At 42.2% G+C, this 19,601-nt stretch overlaps 1 protein-coding gene across 1 annotated transcript in view, besides 1 other annotated feature; it reads left to right on the forward strand.

The window, feature by feature from the left end:
* The window catches only part of LRMDA (leucine rich melanocyte differentiation associated), a 1,128,545-nt gene that overhangs the window by 88,986 nt on the left and 1,019,958 nt on the right, over positions 1-19,601 (forward strand). The window lies entirely within an intron of this gene.
* Positions 17,444-18,058: an enhancer, noted in NCBI's record as "OCT4-NANOG hESC enhancer chr10:77297811-77298425 (GRCh37/hg19 assembly coordinates)". NCBI's record gives its function as "activates a minimal SCP1, AML or CMV promoter by ChIP-STARR-seq in primed H9 embryonic stem cells {active_cell/tissue: H9 hESC(primed)}" and the evidence as "EXISTENCE:reporter gene assay evidence [ECO:0000049][PMID:30033119]".

A 19,601-nucleotide genomic window follows, 5' to 3' on the forward strand; every position in this document is an offset into this window, starting at 1 on the left:
TGCGATGGGTTCGAACATCTTCCTTTAGCTCAGAGAAGTTTGTTATTACTGACCTTCTGAAGCCTACTTCTGTCAGCTCGTCAAAGTCATTCTCCGTCCTGCTTTGTTCTGTTGCTGGCGAGGAGCTGTGATCCTTTGGAGGAGAAGAGGTGCTCTGGTTTTTAGAATTTTCAACTTTTCTGCTTTGGTTTCTCTCCATCTTTATGGTTTTATCTACCTTTGGTCTTTGCTGTTGGTGACCTACAGATGGGGTTTTGGTGTGGATGCCCTTTTTGTTGATGTTGATGCTATTCCCCTTTCTGTTTGTTAGTTTTCCTTCTAACAGTCAGGTTCCTCAGCTGCAGGTCTGTTGGAGTTTGCTGGAGGTCTACTCCAGACCCTGTTTACCTGGGTATCACCAGCGGAGGCTGCAGAACAGTAAATATTGCAGAACAGCAAATATTGCTGCCTGATCCTTCCTCTGGAAGCTTCGTCCCAGAGGGGCATCCACCTATATGAGGTGTCTGTCGGCCCCTACTGGGAGGTGTCTCCCAGTTAGACTACAGGGGGGTCAGGCTCCCACTTGAGGGGAGGCATTCTGTCCATTCTCAGAGCTCAAACGCCATGCTGGGAGAACCACTGCTCTCTTCAGAGCTGTCAGACAGGGACGTTTAAGTCCACAGAAGTTTCTGCTGCCTTTTGTTCAGCTATGTCCTGCCCACAGAGGTGGAGTCTATAGAGGCAGTAGGCCTTGCTGAGCTGCAGTGGGCTCTGCCCAGCTCGAACTTCCCAGCTGCTTTGTTTACCTACTCAAGCCTCAGCAATGGCAGACGCCCCTCCCCCTGCCTGACTGCAGCCTCGCAGGTCGATCTCAGACTGCTGCGCTAGCAGTGAGCAAGGCTCCGTGGGCGTGGGGCCCACCGAGCCAGGCACGGGAGAGAATCTCCTGGTATCCCGGTTGCTTAGACCATGGGAAAAGTGCAGTATTTGGTTGGGAGTGTCCCGTTTTTCCCAGTACAGTCTCTAATGGCTTCCCTTGACTAGGAAAGGGTAATCCCCTGACCCTTTGCACTTCCCAGGTGAGGCGATGCCCTGCCCTGCTTTGGCTCGCCCTCCGTGGGCTGCACCCACTGTCCAACCAGTCCCAATGAGATGAACCAGGTACCTCAGTTGGAAATGCAGAAATCACCTGTCTTCTGCATTGATCACACTAGGAGCTGCAGACCAGAGCTGTTCCTATTCGGCCATCCATTAATGTTATGTTATATTAATTTTATCTCAATTAAAACATAGCAAAGGAAAGCTAGAAGGATCACTCAGAGTACTGAAGGGAGGGAGAGAAAGCTTGATCCTGATACATCCTTAGAATAAATGAGTAGAGAGTCAGTCTCTTCTAAAGTGCTTATTCTTTGATCTGTTCACTTTGGCTCTTTATTTTCTGTGTTGCATTGTTAACTGTTTTACTGGGCAGCAGTGGTGGTGTCAATGGTGGGAGTAATAAAAAGTGATTGCTAATCCGTGTACAGCACCCCTCTTGAAGCAGGCGCTGTTCTATGCCCTTCACATGTATTAACTCACTTAGTCCTTATTACAGCCCTGTGAAGTAGATACTGCGACTATCCTGAGGTAGCAGGTGGAGACATTGAGGCAGACCTTATACTCATTGAGGTCATGTGGCTAGTAAGTTTCATTTGGGAGTCTGAGGCCACTGCCAAACACAGATGGTTGGACTGGGAAGGACTTAGAGATCATCTGGTATAGGGGTTGCAAATTCAGAAGTCTCTGTGCAGAGAACATGAAAGAGCAAAGTAGTTTCATGTAAGATAATTAGGAATGGTGGTGGTAGTATAGACGGATTTTAAAAAATAACATAAAAATGCTATGTAGGCTGATTCAAGACATCTGTGGAAGTGGTACACCTTCCTGGCCACCAGATTGCAGCCTCTAATTTAGTTCAACCTCCTTGTTTTAAAGAGAAGGAAATGGAAGCACAAAGGGATGAGGCAGATTGTCCTAGTCACCCATCCGTGAGTGGTAGAGGGGACCTGGGTCCCAGGAGCCCAAGTCCCACACCCTTCTTTGTTCTACAACATGGGATTCCCATACCTTCTATTGCCTTGGGGCTGAGCATAGAGAAGTCATTTACTAAACACTACCTGAATTGATATTAAACTAAAATAAAAGGGCAGGTATGTGGAGAGGTGGGGAAAGGGCTGAACTTCTGGGGCAAGCAGGACGCAGATGATGCAGCTGAATACATGACATCAGGCCCTGGAAGTGTCATTGGTAGAGGATGCTAAAGGTCTCCCCTTAGTGGTCCCCACAGCAGAAGCTGGCTCTGAGCTGAGCCTGAGGGCTTGGGTGCCTATGTGGTGAAGGAGATGGCATTTGCTCAGCAATCAGATGACCTGGCCTGGCCCCAGCTTTGCCTCCTCCCAGTAGTGCAGCCTTGGACAATCATTTCCCCTCTTTGAACTTCAGTTTCCTCACTTGTAAATGGGAGCTTATATCATTTGCCCTCTTTCCTCATGAAGGTATTGGAAAGCAAATGGAGTAATGTGGGTAAAATAGCTTTACAAACTGTAAAGTACTGTCCACATATAGGTTGTTGCTGCTACTACTGGCTCTCCCTGGGTGGAGAGCCTGTGAGAATGGGTGCATGAGCATGTGTGCATGCATCCTGCTGGAAATGCCTGTGTCATACTGAGGACGTCCTTGTTCCATGTCATCCCATAACTACATGGTGGCTTATGTGGGGGTTGGTGCTAAGCTTGCAGAGCAGCCAGTAATTACCAAAGGAGAAAAAGAGCTCATAAAACAGGCGCCCAGTTCTGCTGCCCGGGGGCCTCTGTGTGAACTGTTCTAATGCTGTTTTTAATTTCACTTGAAATGGGGAACAAGAAGATTCTACTGCATTCACTTGAAATCCATATAGCCAGGAGCTATGTGGGGACTGTGTATGGGGACCTCCTCCAGTCTCTACCTGTGGTGGGTAATAACAGAAATGGCTATTTAATTTATTGTCCAAATCAGGACCCTTTTGAAAACGAAAGAGGGAGCTATAATAATTATGCTGGAAAAACAGGCATAACCTGAAACTGTCCCAGACTGGGATGTGTGGCTACTCCAGTAATAATACCTGGGCATCGAAGTTCAGTTCAAGTCCAGGGCCGGGGCAGACTTCTCCATCTGTGCCATCCTTCTCCCTTCTTCCCTGCATCCTTTCTTCTCTCTGCCCCTTCCTGAGGCACCATTCCCCTCAGTGTCTGATAAAATGTCAGCCTCCACCCCAGTTGATAATTTTTATATAGAAAAAGCATCTGAAAACGTGGAGTTGGAAGACTCAGGATGTCAACTGTCAGTGACTTGGCTTTGAATAGGCCTTTTTATCACTCCGAGCTTTGGTTTTCTCATCTGCAGTATGGGGATAACATTCCTAACTTTATGGGTTTTGCTGGGCAGATCAAACAAAAGAATTTACATGAAAATGATTCATGACTAATGAAGGGTTAATACAAATGTAAATTATTATTAATAAGATTATAGAGGGGTCTTGGACAAAGCAACCCAATGAACGACTTTATAGTGGGAGAATTTCTAGCTTCAGGGGAAGAGACATTTTGGAAGAGGTTGGTTGGTCTTTTCTGGGGCCCCAACTCTTATCATGGGGGCATTCATCCATGTAAATAATTGACCTTCAGGTAGAGTGGATTGTGGAGACAGACCTGCTCAAGTTTGAATCTGTTCTCTGCCTACTTGTGTGATCTTGGGCAAGATTTTTAACTTCTCTGGGTCTTGGGGTTACTCATCTGTATAATGGGGGACCAATAAACCTGTAATTTAGGGTCTTGGTGATGATTTAGGGTCTTGGTGATGTAATTTAGCGTCTTGGTGTGAGAGAATATTTACAAAACACCTAATACAGTGCCTGGCATACATAGGAATTAGGCTCTCCTTTCTCCTTTGCTGCTCTCCCCAGGGTCACTGGGGTAGGAAATGAGAAGTTGGTATAGATCACCCTAATGGAGTTCTCTGTGTATATGGTGTCTTCTTCACAACTTGGCCTATGTAGTAATCAGATGAAGACATTTTGGAAATCTTATTCTAAGGGACTTAGAAAGAAAGATGAATAAACAGGAAATTGGGGAGAAGTTTTAGTATTTTTTTGTTCTTATTTTTTTGGTCTTTCTTTTGTTAATTTTGTCCCATCCATCCATCTGGCATTTGTTAAGTACTTGAGATGTGCAAGCTGATGTGGGGGAGATAGAAAGATACCCAAGAAGCCTACAGCCTAGCTGATTTAAAGGGAACCTGAGTTTGGAGGTGCTTTAAAGTGTAAGATGATTGAGTCCAGTGGTGGTGGGACTTAGTTAGGGGTATGTATGAATTAGGACTCTTTTAGGTACAAGTGACCAAAACCCAACATACATTTGCCAAAGCCCTAGAGATAATTTATTTATTGACTCATAGCTGGGAAGTCCAGTGCTGGGTACAGAGGTTTGGGTGATGATTTTACCCTTGCTCCCAGCCCATTGACAAATTTCCTGTAGACCATCTGTTGGCTATACAGCATCCTCACTTGGATCCTCTGATATCCCCATATAATTGAGAAGGAGAGGGCATTTCAGGCCTTTGGCGGTTATTTGCTTACCAGTTGGCAGGTGTTATTTGCTCCTACTTTCAGGGCTGACTCAGAATGATGGGTGAGAGGTAAGTGTGGTTTGTGAGTACCTTTTGTGTGGAAGTTTGGGCAGGGATGTGAGCCCAGGTCTGCCTTGCCAAGGGTAATGAAATTCTGAAGCAGATTGGAGTATGTAGTTTATGATGATCTGGGCTATTTCTCTTTTTCTAGAGCTGGTAATGAAAATGCCCAGGATTAAGTCCAGTATGTAGAGTTCTGAATGGGTTGGCTAATGCAAACAGCTTAACTGACTTGGTAAGACTGGGATTGAGATAATTGTATCTGCAGGCTTTCTTTTTCTTTTCTTTTTCTTTCTTTCTTTCTTTTTTTTTTTTTTTTTGTGAGAAAAGGGCAAATAGGCTCTTTACAACCTCATTCCAGACCACTTTTTAAAAATAATATAGTTCATTACAAACTGGCCCAGCTGGTATCCTTACCATAGCCTAGTATATTTGTGTTTTCCTATGTTTATCTCATTCCTTACCCAAACTCCTCAAATCATCTTCTCTCTTAGGGTATTTCTTACCAAACTCTGATTCAGTGTTTATTATAAAGCCTTTCGTAATATCCACAGCTACAACCTTTTCTTTTGATCTCCATGGCACATACTGTCTGAGCCATTCTGACCACAATTATTTATTACATGGTTTTCTTTCATTATATTAAAAAAATTCCAATTTGATTGTAAAACTCCTTGAAGATAGGATTCTGCCTCATAGTGCTTTATGTTTTCTATCACCCCTGGTAAATATTTGTTGACTTTATATATTATTATTATTTTATTTATTTATTTATTATTTTCATTTCTTTTTTAGAGATGGGGTCTCACTCTGTCACCCAGGCTGGAGTGCAGTGGTGTGATCATAGCCCACTGCAGCCTCAACCTCCTGGGCTCAAGGGATCCTCCTGCCTCAGCCTCCAGAGTAGAAGGGACCACAGGCATGTACCACCACACCCAGCTAATTTTTAATTTTTTGTAGAGATTGGGTCTCGTTATGTTGTCCAGGCTGGTTTCAAACTCCTAGCCTCCAGCAATCCTCCTGCTTCAGCCTCCCAAAGTGCTGGGATTACAGGCACGAACTACTGTGCCCAGTTGATTTTATATTTTAAATAATGTAAGGCTGAGATTGGCAGGTAAATAATACAGGTGAGAATGACAGATGAAACCCACGAATCTTTTGTTTCCCTGCAAACCCTATAAAACAGTACAAAAAGAGGCATATACTCACAAGATGGAGATTACAAGAATGGAGGCAGTGACAGTCATATTTAATTGTTTGGTTAAAAAAATACATAATTTAGGCTAAGTGTGGTGGCTCACACCTGTAATCCCAGCACTTTGGGAGTCCAAAGTGGAAGGATTGCTTGAGCCCAGGAGTTTGAGACCAGCCTGGACAACATAGTGAGACTCCATTTCTCTAAAAAAAAATTTAAAAATTAGCTGGGTGTGGTGGCACATGCCTGTGGTTCCTATTACTCTGGTGGAGACTAAAGCAGGAGGATGGCTGGAGCTCAGAAGTTCAAGTCTTCAGTGAGCTGTGTTCATACCACTGCACTCCAGCCTGGATGGCAGAGCAAGGCCCTATCTCAAAAAAAAAAAAAACAAAACATAATATGAAATGTACCATTTAAGTTATTTTAAAGTACATAATTAATTAGCATTTAAAGCAAACAGTGTTGTGCAACCACCACCTCCATCTAGTTCTTGAACATTTTCATGCCTCCAGAAGGAAACCTCATATGCATTAAGCATCACTCCCCATTCTCCCCTCCCTCTAACTCCTGGCAACCACTAATCTGCTTTCTGTCTCTACAAATTTGCCTATTTTGGATATTTCACATAAATGGAATTATACAGTATGTGGTATTTTGTGTCTGGCTTCTTTCACTCAGAATACTATTTTTAAGGTCCACCCATGTTGTAGCATATGCCAATACTTCATTCCTTTTTGTGACTGAGTAATATTCCACTGTAGGGATGCCACATTTGGTTTATCCATTATACATTTAACAGATAATGGATATCTGGGTTTTGGGTTGATTTTACATTTTGCTATTATGAATAATGCTACTGTGAACATTCTTGTGCAGCTTTTTGTTTGAACACCTATTTTCAATTTTTTGGATGTATGCCTAGGAATAAAATTGATAGGTCATATCATAATTCTATGTTTAATTTGTTGAGGAACTGCCAAACTGTTTTCACAACAGCACACCATTTTATATTCCCACCAGTAATATATGAAAGTTCTAGTTTCTCCATATCTTCACTAACCCTTGTTGTTTTCCTTTTTTGAGACAGGGTCTCACTCTTTAAAAGGCATAAACTCAGGATGAAGTTTACAAGAATGGAGGCACCAGTAACATAGAATATGTAATATACTGTATACTATATAATTATAATATAAATCATATATAATTTATATTATAATTGTTATATAATATATTAATATAATTATATAATAATTATAATATAAATAATATATAATATATAATTATAAATAATATGTAATTATATATTATATATTTATATGTTGGAGTGCAGTGGCACAATTTTGGCTGTAGTGCAGTGGGGGGATTTTGGCTTACTGCAGCCTCGACCTTCTGGGATCAAGTGATTCTCTCACTTCGGCCTCCCAAGGAACTTAGGACTATAGGCACATGCCACCATACCCTGCTAATTTTTGTGTTTTTTTTGTAGAGACAGGGTTTCGCCATGTTGCCCAGGCTGGTCTTGAACTCCTGAGCTCAAGCAATCTACCTGTCTTGGCCTCCCAAAGTGCTGGGATTATAGGTGTGAGCCACTGCACCTGGCCAACAATAGAATTTTGCAAGTTGGAAAGTAGATAAGGGAAATTGAACCCAACCTATATCAGCAGGAGGGAGAGCTGAGAACCAATCTGATTTATACTGGATAGTTCCCCAATGCCTGCGAGTTGGTAGCACAAGTACCTCTGAAAATATCTCTGAAAGTTGTAAGACTTCAGATGCTATCTCTCATTCGACAACTTTGCTTACCACACTCTGGAGAAAGATTGAAAGTTTCTTTTGTTGGGAGCATAAGCCAGAGGATGTCTGGACTTGGGAATCCCAAAAATTGTTGAGGATGGGGTTCACCACAGGCAACTAGTAATTGAACATGCATATTAATCAAACATACACATAGTGGATTTTGGGACATTCTTCACCCAATGCTCTTTGCCTCCTTGGCTGTTACGACTGTGGTAGCCAAGCCTTTATCCCTGAAGCAGGGGTTGAGAAGACATTGACCAGACCAAAAGGAGAATTGAAAGTACTTCCCCTGAACTTCACGACTAGTTGGTCTGGCTAGATCACCTTATTGTGAAACTCCAGATGACAAGCCCTTTCCATTCCAGCCAAGAATAGAGAATAGTTCTCTATTCTTAAATGTGGGCAGAAATTTAAGGATTGCTTGATGTTTATGAGAAACCTCTAGCATGAATGACAGAGATCAGAATAAACAAGAAAGAAAGGAAGAAACTTGGAGGAATCAGGGACTATGCTGGGAGAAGAAAACACAAAAAACCTAGTATTAATATCCTTGGAGAGATAAAACGAGATAGCATAGCACTGAAACAAGAACAGAATACCATATCATACGAGCAATATGTACAGAATAAGAAAAAAGCCCTTAAAAATTCAACACATGAAATGAAAAATGTACAGGAGGCAATTTTCTTAGAAAGCAGAGTAAGAGAAGGCAAAGATATGGAAATGAGAGAGGGGAGAAAAAAGGAGCAGTCTCAGAGGTCCAACATAATTGAAGTTCTAGAGTAAAAGGAAGAAATGATAACTGGGAATTATTTCAGGAAATTGTTTTAGAACAGAGGGGCAAAAGGTTCCAGATTGAAAGATTCCACTAAATGTCTACCATTAAAATAGACTCACACCACCTCACATGGCTGTGAAATTTAAGAATACTAGGAGCTGGAAAAACATGGCAAACATACAGAATTGGGATTCAGAAGGGCCTCAGACTTCCAAATGGCAACATGGGAAGCTAGGATATACTGGAGCAACACCTTCAGAATTCTGAAAGGAAAAGTTCCTTAACCAAAAGTCTGTTACCAGCCAAAGAAGCAGTCAAGATTGAGGGAAGTGTGAAGATAATTGTAGGTATGAAATGTCTCAAAAATTTTACCATCTTAGGTAACTACTGGAGGAGGAGTTCAGTGAAAACAAGAGAGTAAACCAGAAAGGAGATGTTCTCATTAGAGGGAAAGGGCATCTCCAGGGTCATGGGCGAGGGAGATCCCAGAAGGCAGCCTGGAGTGCCATCAGCCTGGAGTGGTTGGGAGAGAAAGCTCCAGGAGCATCTTCCCCAGCATGATGAAGGTGCTGTAACACCTGATGCATCTGGACATCTTGAGAGGTGACTTAAAAAATTGGCTAAGAAATTGTTATTGAATTATCAGTAGAGAATTCTTAACTCCTGGGAAAATAAAAAACGTGTAGGAAAGAATTAGTTTTTTATATCTTACACAATTATAGCATGAGGAATATAATTATGAACACAAAATATGGTCTAACTCAAATACAACGTATCTATATTGGAAAAATGGAGGCAGGAATAGAAAGGGTCTATGCTTGTGGCACAGGAAGAGTGAACCACAGTAGGAAATCAATGGCTAATGCCTAAAACTGAAAAATCAAGGGACATGGAGGAAAATACCAAAGCATCAGCTCAGAGAGATGGTGGAAGGAGAAATGAGGGGGAAAGAAAGGGAATAGAGATTTATTTTTGTAACCATAGAATTTCTTGATTCTTTAAAACATACATATATTTTAGGTAGTTACATATTTATTTTACATATTTATATATTCTTTAAAAAATATATAAAACTTTGTAAAAAAAATAAAGAAGAAGGCTAAAAACAGATTAAAAACCTTGAGAGAAACATGCCAGTGGGATTATGGGTCCTGCCTCTTTATATAGTTTATATTTCTCAAATTTCTACAGTGATCATATTTAGAATTTGAAAAAAAAAAATAACATTGATTGATGAGAATGATGGATGGGAATTCTCGGTAAGTCTCCCTGGAGTAATGCTCACAGTGACTCTCCCAAGGGAGGAGTTCTTAACTGCATCACAGAATTGCAGGAATTCAGGGACGGCAATGCATGGAGCACCTTGGGTCAGTTGACAAGTGACGAATGCCTGTGAGTCCTTCCCAGAATGGAGGGACCTGTGTTGCCCCCTCCTTGCTGCTGACCTCAGTGTTGACTCATCCCTGATGTTTCCTGGCTGTGAAGGGCACCCCCATTCCTCACCCTGGGTTGCTGTGCCAAGTGGTGTGTATTTAACTTCTTTAGAATCCTTCCTCATAAATCAGCCTGCCTCACTCCTTCACTGTGGGAATGGCTTTTCTCTGCATTCCCTCCCACTAGGCCCTTGGTTTCAGGTAATGGCTCACTGAGACTGGGGAAGAACATGGGGCCACTTGAAACAAAGAGTTGACATTCCTCTCCTCACCATTCCTGAGTGGTTTTATTGGGAGTGGAACCTAAAGGTGGGCTTCAGGGATTGATCCTGGAGGACAGGATCTCAGAAAACCATTGTTGCTGGTGCCTGGGCTCCTTGCCCCTTGTACTGAACTCTGTTGTCTATAGTTCCGGCACTATGGGCTTTTTGGTAACTAATAGTTCACTATTAGCAATCTCAATGAGAATATTTATAATTTATTGAATGGGGACTATTTCAGGCTGTGTTATATATCATCTGTTGTCACAACAGCTCACATTTCACATCTGGGAAGATAGAGGCTAAGCAAGGTCTGCTCTTTCACTGGGCATGTCTCTTGAGTGTCTGTGTGTGCCAGGCACTGTGCTGGTCTCTAGGGTTACAGTGGAGGCTGGGATATCACCAGCTCTTCCTTAATGTTGTTAGCCAGTGGGTAGACAGACACGACCACAGGGAGGTATAATACAGCAGGACGAGTGCTGAAGAGAGGTGGCAGAGGGGGTGGTTAACACAGTCAGGTGGTCGAGGAGAACTTGTTGGACAATGCAGGTTAGTTCTGAAGGATGAGGCGTTATTCCAAAAAAGAGGGAAGGACAGCTGGACAGCAGGAGCAGTGGGAGCTGCACTAAAGTTTCCCTTCCTTCACAGACTCGTGGTGAGTGTGGCCTTTTAGGGTCAGCAGAGTCTGAGCAAACCTGAGGGTCTCAACAGCCAGACCCTCCCAACCCTGTACTCCCATCCTTTGTTGCTTTGCAGCAGGAGCTGAGTGATTGGCACAAGAATATGTGGTGATGACTGGTTTGTTTTGTACAAAGCCTGGTTGTAAGTGCCACAGGGGTTTAAAAATGAGGTGGTGTTTGACCTTGGTTTTCTCTGGCTCTAAAGCCAGCACTCTTGTTCTCTGGACAGGGTCTTTTAATCACCTAGTGTATGTTCAGTTTTAATGTAGATACAAGAAATGAGACATACATTTCCTGCCCACAAGGAATTTACAGTCCAGCTAGGCCAAAAGGAATTGGCCTTAGAAAGTAATCAGTGATGCTAGGTGCGGTGGCTCTTGCCTGTAATCCCAGCACTTTGTGGGGCTGAGGCAGAAGAGTCACTTGAGCTCAGCCTGGACAACATGGCAAGACCCTGTCTCTTAAAAAAAAAAAAAATTGGTGTGCACCTGTAGTCCTAGCAACTCAAGAGGCAGAGGTGGGAGGATCACTCGAGCCCAGGAATTTGAGGCTGTGGTAAGCTGATTGCACCATTGCACTCCAGCCTGGCAGATAAGGGAAGACTCTACCTCAAAAGAAAGAAAGAAAAAAAAAAAAAAAAAAAAAGGAAAGAGCCAGTGAGCAGTACAAGGGGGTGTTTAAAAATTTTCTTAAAGGAAACCAGTGTCCCCTTTTATGACCTCTTGGGCTGTTATTTGTCTTGTTGCTGTCTTCATTATTTTCCTAACATCTCAGATTTGTTTGCCTGCTAGAAGTTTGACTTTTCAGCCAGATCCCGAAGATCTTGGGGAGAGGTGACAAAGGCATTCCTGGTTGCCAGATTCCATCATGGTTCCACAGCCTCAGTTTCCATGTTTTTCTTGTGCCAAATTCTGGAATTTTTGATCCAGGCTGCTTGCTATCTTTGAGCATTTGGGGTTCTGAGTCCCCAGATGTAATTTTTGGGCCTGGGTGTTAACACATTGAAGGCAGAGGAAAGGGCTTGGGGAAAGTGCCTTTTCTGCTGTTGGGAGAGACCAGTTTGCCAAACATCAGGCTCTGCTTTCTAGGGGCTGGAGGTGTATTCGGGAGACATCCTCAGGTGTGCATGCTGGAGAGAGGACTGGTGGTGACATTGGAAAATCTTTCTAGCTAACTTTGTACTCTTATTCATTTCAGACTTTTTTTTGTTGAAGTCCTGCTTGAGTCATTCTCAGTATGGTTGAGACACACTGAGTTCTGCTTGAGTCATTCTCAGTAGGATGCAGACAACCTGCATCACTCAGATCCACTTTGTTAGAAATGTCGATTCCCTGACCCTACCCTAGACCTGGTGGCTCAGAGTCCCTGGGGTGGGACTCAGGAATCTGTATTTTTAATGAGCTCCGTGGTTGATCCTGATGTATATTCAAGTTTGAAACTACTGGTTTGTTTTGTATGAAGCCTGGTTTTGGGCACTGTAAGCAATTAAAAGATGTTTGTCCTTGCCATCAAGGGGCTCACTCTCTCGTGGGAGTGACAAACCTCAAATAGCTAAGTATAATATTAATACAAGACAGAACACAGCCACGTTTGTGGAGTATGCCTTATTACTCAAAGAATGCATTTTATAGCAAGTTGAAAAGAAAGGTACTAGGCTGGTAAATTTTGAAAAGCATATCCTAGTTAGTGAGATTTTATGGAAAGAGAAGTCACCTGCAGAGCTGTAGAATATTCTGCGTTCTTTCAACTGAGAGGATAACAAAGAACATGGTAGGAGTTGGACTACATAAAAGTTAGTTTCAGTAAAGGCTGAGATATTAGTATATTTAGATACCACTCTTTGTTTACCCTTAAAATGGACTCCTCATTTTATAATGACATTTTAATGAGGAAAACCTATATACAAATGAAATAGGTAACAATTAGGGGTGGGGTAACCCAGGGTCTCTTTGGATCTACTTCAGGAAAAGGCTGACAAGGGAGCCTGGGAGAGTTTCGTGCAGCAGAGAAAGCATCAATCCTGGGTGGAAATTTTGAGTTATTTATAAATGAGTTTTTATGGGTCTGAGTAAGAGACACTTCTGGGCATACTCATATTTATTGTTTCTCCCACTGACTTGGTTAAAAGTAGGTAAATAATAAATTATGTCATTGCACATCTATGTTTTCTTGTCTCTTGATGTGCAAGAGGACATCACTTTCTGGAAAATCATGGAGTGGGAAACTTTGAAGCTTATTCTCTGGTGTCTTGTGTTTGGGATCAGGCAGTTGTAGCAGTCTGCTGCTGAGTGAGCCTTTCCTTTCCCTTGCTATCACTGGGAGAGTTGGGCCCACTCAGAGGATGAGAGGAGAGAGAGAGTCAACGATATTCCACAGAGTGCAGAGAGAGTAACAATTAATTGCACCTCCTTGGAGGAGGTGACGTTTGGAGGGGACTTTGTCAAAAGACAAAATAAAATGTACATGCGATATGTGCAACATATGAGGACTCTATATTGCAAGTGACTCAAACTGGTTTCAACAGTAAAGGAAATCTATTGCCTAGGTGTTAGGGTAGCGTTCGGGGCAGGTGGGTGGATCCAGTGGCTCAGATGGTGTCCTATAGAACCCAGTTTCAATCTTCCTTCTCTTGGCCATTCCTGGCATCAACAGGCTCTCTTCATGCTCTCTACATCAAAGGTCTCTGCACATGTAGCATAAGTTAGGTCTTTTACAGGGAATATAATATATGAGGGTGAGTATTTCAAGTGCCCTGATGCGCAATTGTGAGGTGCTTATAATGCAAACCTGTGTCTGTTTGAGATTCAATTCAGCAAATACCTTTGAACAGCTACTGGGTGCAAAGTGCTGTGTGTGGCAGTTAGTTGCCCATCACATTTGGTGGACAGTGGTCCTCCTGGGACTTGCTGTCATGTGGTGTACTTTAAAACAGAAGTTAAGAAAAAACAGTGAAAAATGCTACCATTGAATTGGGTGGCATTTAAGACTGTTTCTAGCCGTCCTGACTCTTAGAACTTTGCTTTCTCGGCAATATTGTGGGTGCATATATTTGGCAGGGGGGGATTCTAGGTTTATGAGTCAACCTGAGGAGTAAGAATGGAAGATGACAATAGTTTCTGATCTTTAGCTTTTAAGTCAAGGACTGCTTTCCAAAATGTTCTTGGCAGGCAAGCTGCCTTTGAACATTGTTAGACATAGACATAGCCTCAGAATAGCATCTGAATTACGATGTTTTTGTCTTCTTTTCCCCAACTTGTGATGGCTGATAGACAGAAAATGCTCATAAAACCTTGACTCAAACCACCAAATGGCTGAATAATTCAAGCTTGAGTTTTTTGAAGAATTTTGAATCCCAAAATAAGACTCCTAAGGAAATAGATATGATGTTTCTTTCTTCCTCCCCTTTTAAGCCTAATTAGGGTTTGTACTTAGGTAATGGAGGGTCAGATTCAGGGGAAAGTCTTGCTAGTATGAGCTTAAACTATACACCAGAATTTCTCTATACCCATAAGCTTCATTAAAAAAACGAAAACAAAACTCAGAACCCCAAATAAATAAAAACACATTTATTTGATGATGTCTCTGTCCACCATGAAGAGGCTTAGTGTTATGCTTGTTGTAGAAAAATATTTTGTGAATGTGTCTTACAATCTTTCACTATTTTTGGTAAAAGACAGTTCTTTTTATCTTCTAAATTAGAAATTCATTGTCATGGATTTTTTGTTTTTGTTGCTTTCTTTAGCCTGTTTTTCAGGGATTTTTTTTTCCATATCAGGATTGCACTGTGATTGGAACATTCTCACAAAGATTTCAACCAAGTTTTTCTTCTCAGGATTGACACACCATCAACAACCTGAAATAGTAAGCCTTTTCTGCTTTCTAATTTCCTCCCTAGAATTCCAGTTGAGGTCCTTGTCTTTCCTTCAGCTTCTTTTACTTACTTACTTCTTATTTATTTATTTATTTATTTCTCTAGTCGTCCTTTTATGAAGTGCACTGTCAGCAGCAGCTTAAAGATTTGTTATTCAAGCCATGAATCCCTCTGTGAAAGGCAAAAACTGAAATTTAGAGACTCTCTTGCTCTTTTATTTTCCCATCTCAATTTCTTTTCTGTTCCTAGTGCATTTTGGGGCAGACAATGAGCCAACTAATGCAAATCACCCAGACCAAAGAACCCTTAGATCATTTCTGAAGAACTTGAAGTGATCCTTGAAGAGAACTTTATTATTCAAGGTTTTCAGAATAAAACCTTAAAAAAAAATTGGGTGTGACTAAAGAAAATCAGGTAAGGGCCTTGTAGCCATTTTGGATAAAGTTGAAGTGGACTCATCTTTACAACTGGAACTGCTCTGCCTCAGGTTCCGGATGCCCCCTGCCCTGGGAGGAACAAGTGTTGCTTCTGCTTCTGGGAGGAGGCAGTGTGGTCTACTGGAAAGTGGACCAGGCCAGGAGGCAGTGATTAGAGCTCTTCTGAGCCATCTGTGCCATTAAATTGGCTGTATGACTTTGAGCAAGACTCTGAATTATTCTATGCAATCCTGTAGAATGAGAGGTTGGGTTGGCTGGTGTTCTGGATTGTGGGATGGAGGGGAAAGCCACCTCCTTATTGTCTGACCTGGCTGCTTGTCATTCTGCCTCAGCCATGCCGCCGTCGCTCTGTTCCTCTCCCACCCAGGCTTTGCTCACATTGGCCCCTGAGCTGCTGTTCTGCTTGCTCTGTATTGCCTTCTTTTTGTCTACCCAGATCTTAACCATCCTTGCAGGGCGGGTTCACATGACTCCAGGCCTTTCCTAGCTGCTCAGGTTCTTCTCAGAACAGCTATTGTACTCGGGGTCCATTCCATACTGCTCTACACAACTGTATATTGTATATATTCTCAAACATGCCCCCTGGCCTGGCTCTGTGCTTGTCCTGTGTGTCCCCTCTATAGGATGCTCTCTCTGTCCTCCATCAAGTCCCAGCCTCTACCTCTTGAAAATCCTAACTATGTATATACCCTGGTGGTTCATACACAGCTCACATGACTCTACTGAGGTATGCTCTTCTCTCTGTCCTCTTTAACCCAAAGTTGAGGGCTCATCACACCTGTTTGGGGTATATGTGTTCCTGCTCCACCCACTTGCTATTCTTTTATTGTAGCATTTTTAGGAGATGGAGCCTCACTCTGCTGCCCAGGCTGGAGTGCAGTGGTGTGATCATAGCTCGCTGTATACTTGAACTTCTGGGTTCTTGTCTCAGCCTCCCGAGTAGCTGGGGCTATAATTCTTAAATTAGTAGTAGCTGGGGATAATTCTTAAATTTTTTTTGTAGAGATGGGGGTCTTGCTATGCTGACCAGGCTGGTCTTGAACTCTTAGCCTCAAGTGATCCTCTTGTCTCAGCCTCCCAGATTGTTGGGATTACAGGCATGAGCCACTGTGCCTGGCCTACTGAAGCATTTTTGATCTAGGATCAGGCTTGCTTGACATTTAACTCTGAGAACTTTGAGGACAAAAACAGTGTCCTCATTGTATCCCCCATACCACCCATCGTATGCTGGACAAATAACAGGTATCCTACTGGTGGTTGGTAATTAGACCTAGAATTGCCAGGGAGCACAGATGCTCTGGTATTTCAGCTACTCCCTTGCCTTACGTTCCGGTCAAGAGTGAACTTTTATGCCCAAACTAGCTAAGAGACTATTTTCTTCTGTCACACTATATGCTGAAGAGCTTTCTTTTTACTTTGTGTTCATTATTTTTGGGGGAAGGATTTTTCCACTTAGCTCAAAGCCTTGTCATTGCCTCATTATTATAACGTGCAACCGCTGATGGAAGCATCTTTTCCATCACCTGGAGGCATTCCACTTGTGGCTACTTCTGGCTCAGCCCCTGAGAATACTCCTAAGGCAGGCCATGTGGCTGAGAGGCTTGGTACTTCTGGGTTTAAGTTCTGCTCTGATTCTGCCTAGCTTTGTGTGACATCAGGCAAGTTGTTAAGTCTCTCTAAGCCTTGATTTTCTCTCCCACAGCATTGTGATGTACCTACATCCCTGACTGTCAGGATTAAATGAGACCCTGACTGTACAGCTCTCAGCACAGTGCCTGGCATAATTTATCCTTGTTATCCTTGCTATCAAAGCCTGTATTGACTACCAAATGTATGAGGCCTGAGCCAGGCCCGTAAGGATGGAAGTTCAGATCTGGACAAATGTGTAAGGGATTTGCAGATGTGATCAAAGTATTGAAGTGAGCTTGGGTTGCTTGGGGGCCGGGGAGAGCATTTGCATTCATGACTGGGTGGAGTGAGTACCTCTTGGGTCCAGGGAGTTTAGAATTCTCAGCCTGGCATGCAGGCATTTAATCACTCCTATCTGTTTTTCCCCTCCTTTCTAGAGATGTTCCATACTTCTCAAACATGCCCCCTGGCCTGGCTTTGTGCTTGTCCTGTGTGTCCCCTCTATAGGATGCTCTTTCTGTCCTCCATCAAGTCCCAGCCTCTACCTCTTGAAAATCCTAACCGTGTATATACCCTGGTGGGTCACACACAGCTCACATGACTCTACTGAGGTATGCTCTTCTCTCTGTCCTCTTTAACCCAAAGTTGAGGGCTCATCACACCTGTTTGGGGTATATGTGTTCCTGCTCCACCACAGTATACGGTTGGGGACTATTAGAGCTGGAGAGAATTTTGAGGTCTGAGGACACAGTTGCAAATGAAACCTGAAGCTTTGTTAGCTCATCAGATATAAAGCAGATACTGATGAGGCCGCTGCATCGAAGGGGAGCCAAGACCCTATCTGCTATGTTGTCATTTCCCCTCCTAGAAGACCCTAGAAGCTTTGTGCTGCCCAGGGAGCTTTGCATAACACAGAGACTGAAAGCGGTGCAGCGATTTGGCCGAGTCCCTGCAGCAGTACTTGAAACTGTATCTGGCCACCTGCTGCATCCTCTACCGCATTTCACATAGCATGCCTAGTGAGTGAATGTAAGGAATAATTAGGAAAGGTTAAGTGATTTCCTAATGCATCTTCTATTTGCGATTCAAAAGATGTAAGTGGCAGTGTTGTCTCTTATGTAATCTTCACCCGTAGACTGTTCAAATCATAGGGAAAGGGTGAAAAATGGCAAAAAATGGCACTTCACTGAGCATGAAGTGAAAATGTCTCAGATGGGCATTGAGTAGTTTTGTTTGTTTGTTTGTTTGTTTGTTTGTTTGTTTTGTGTTTTTGGCTTTGACCTGTCATTTCTTAGCTTTCTCATCTATGCCTTTGTTAACTTGGGTCAGAGGAAAGGGTCTGTGTGATTTCAACAAGCAAGTATTAGGAAAAGGCTGGCAGAGAGACTTTATGCATGTTACCTAAGCTGGGATTTGATCTTCAGACCCCCAAGGTGAAAGGCTAATACCTTAATTTGTGTGTTTTATAAACATCCCCAGGCAATGACCTTCTGCTAGCCTCATGTGATATTCACATTCTACAGTACTGAATGCCAAATTTTCTGTCTTGGAATAGAGTGGTACAGGTTGCATGTTCAAGTTTAGAATCAGCAGGGTGCCATCCCTATATTAGTGTTGCTTGCATGCAATTGAGTGAAAGCTTTTTAGAGGATTTCCTGGCAGAATGGAATTTTTTATTTTAAGAGAATACATATCGTATGGTTTAAAACCAAAAAAACTTCTCTTCAATAGGACTTGTGTCCAACAATGTAAGGCATTTTCCCTTGCAGCTTTCCCTTTCCTAAAAGCTTTCCTTTAAGGGTCATCTTTATTTTTCTGGTGTCAGTCAAATTATTTTTCAGCAGAGCATGAAAACTGGAGATGGAGACCCTCCATGGCTGTGTGTTAGAACCACACTGAAAGTTTTTTGTTTTATGTAAATAGAGATTGATGGAACATTTTACACAGAGTACGGGCTTTTGACAAAAAGTATTGATGGTTGCTTTCAGTAAGTGTTACTTGAGATGACAGAACATTGCATTTTAAGATGAATTACATGAGGAACTCCCTCTTTGGGAATGTCATACATTTTATTTCATCTGTTGTTTTATGAGAGAATGACTGAAGTCATGAATACCTTAGACTGAACTCTTTCCTTTGCACATTATAAGCCTCGGTTTGGTGCACTCTTATTTTAAATATTAAGTTATGGGGGAAATGTTTATACTGGCAAATAATATTGATAAAAATGCTTAAATGTTCAGAAGCAGAACATAACTTCTCACATGGTTTTCTCTTGCATGGTGGTGATTTGTAGGAAGCCTGGGAACCTGGTTAGAGTTAAATATATATTTTCAGAAAGATCTCAGAGATTTGGCTTAGTATAAATGGCTGTTTTTTTGTTGTTTTTGTTATTGTTGATGTATTGGCGATTTTCTCCCTCTGGCTGTATTTAGATTTCAAAAATGCTACATTTGCATTCACTCCCTATAGCATTATTTGTTCTTGATGCAAGGGCTTAGAAGTCAGAGTCTGTCAGAGTCTTTTGGGTTTTAATTTTCTTTATAGCATTAATTCAGAGATATTAGCTTATCAGCACCCAGGGGTTAAAGGTTATTAACAGATTCACTATATGTTTATTGAGCACCTATTACTATCTGTTCTAGGATCTGGGGGTATAGGCCTGATTCTCATGCTGCTTATAATCTAGTGAGGAGCAGAAATAATAACAGATAATAAAATTTCTGGTAGCAACATTATACCATATTGAAAATAAAGCAGGAGTAAAGGGTTAGGTGCCTCAGAAGTGGGTGTGGGAGCGTATTTTAGGTAGAGATGTCAGGGAGGGCTGCTCTGAGAAGT

The sequence above is a fragment of the Homo sapiens genome, chromosome 10 (genome assembly GCF_000001405.40).
Source record: "Homo sapiens chromosome 10, GRCh38.p14 Primary Assembly".
In the NCBI taxonomy this organism is placed as follows: Eukaryota; Metazoa; Chordata; class Mammalia; order Primates; family Hominidae; genus Homo; species Homo sapiens.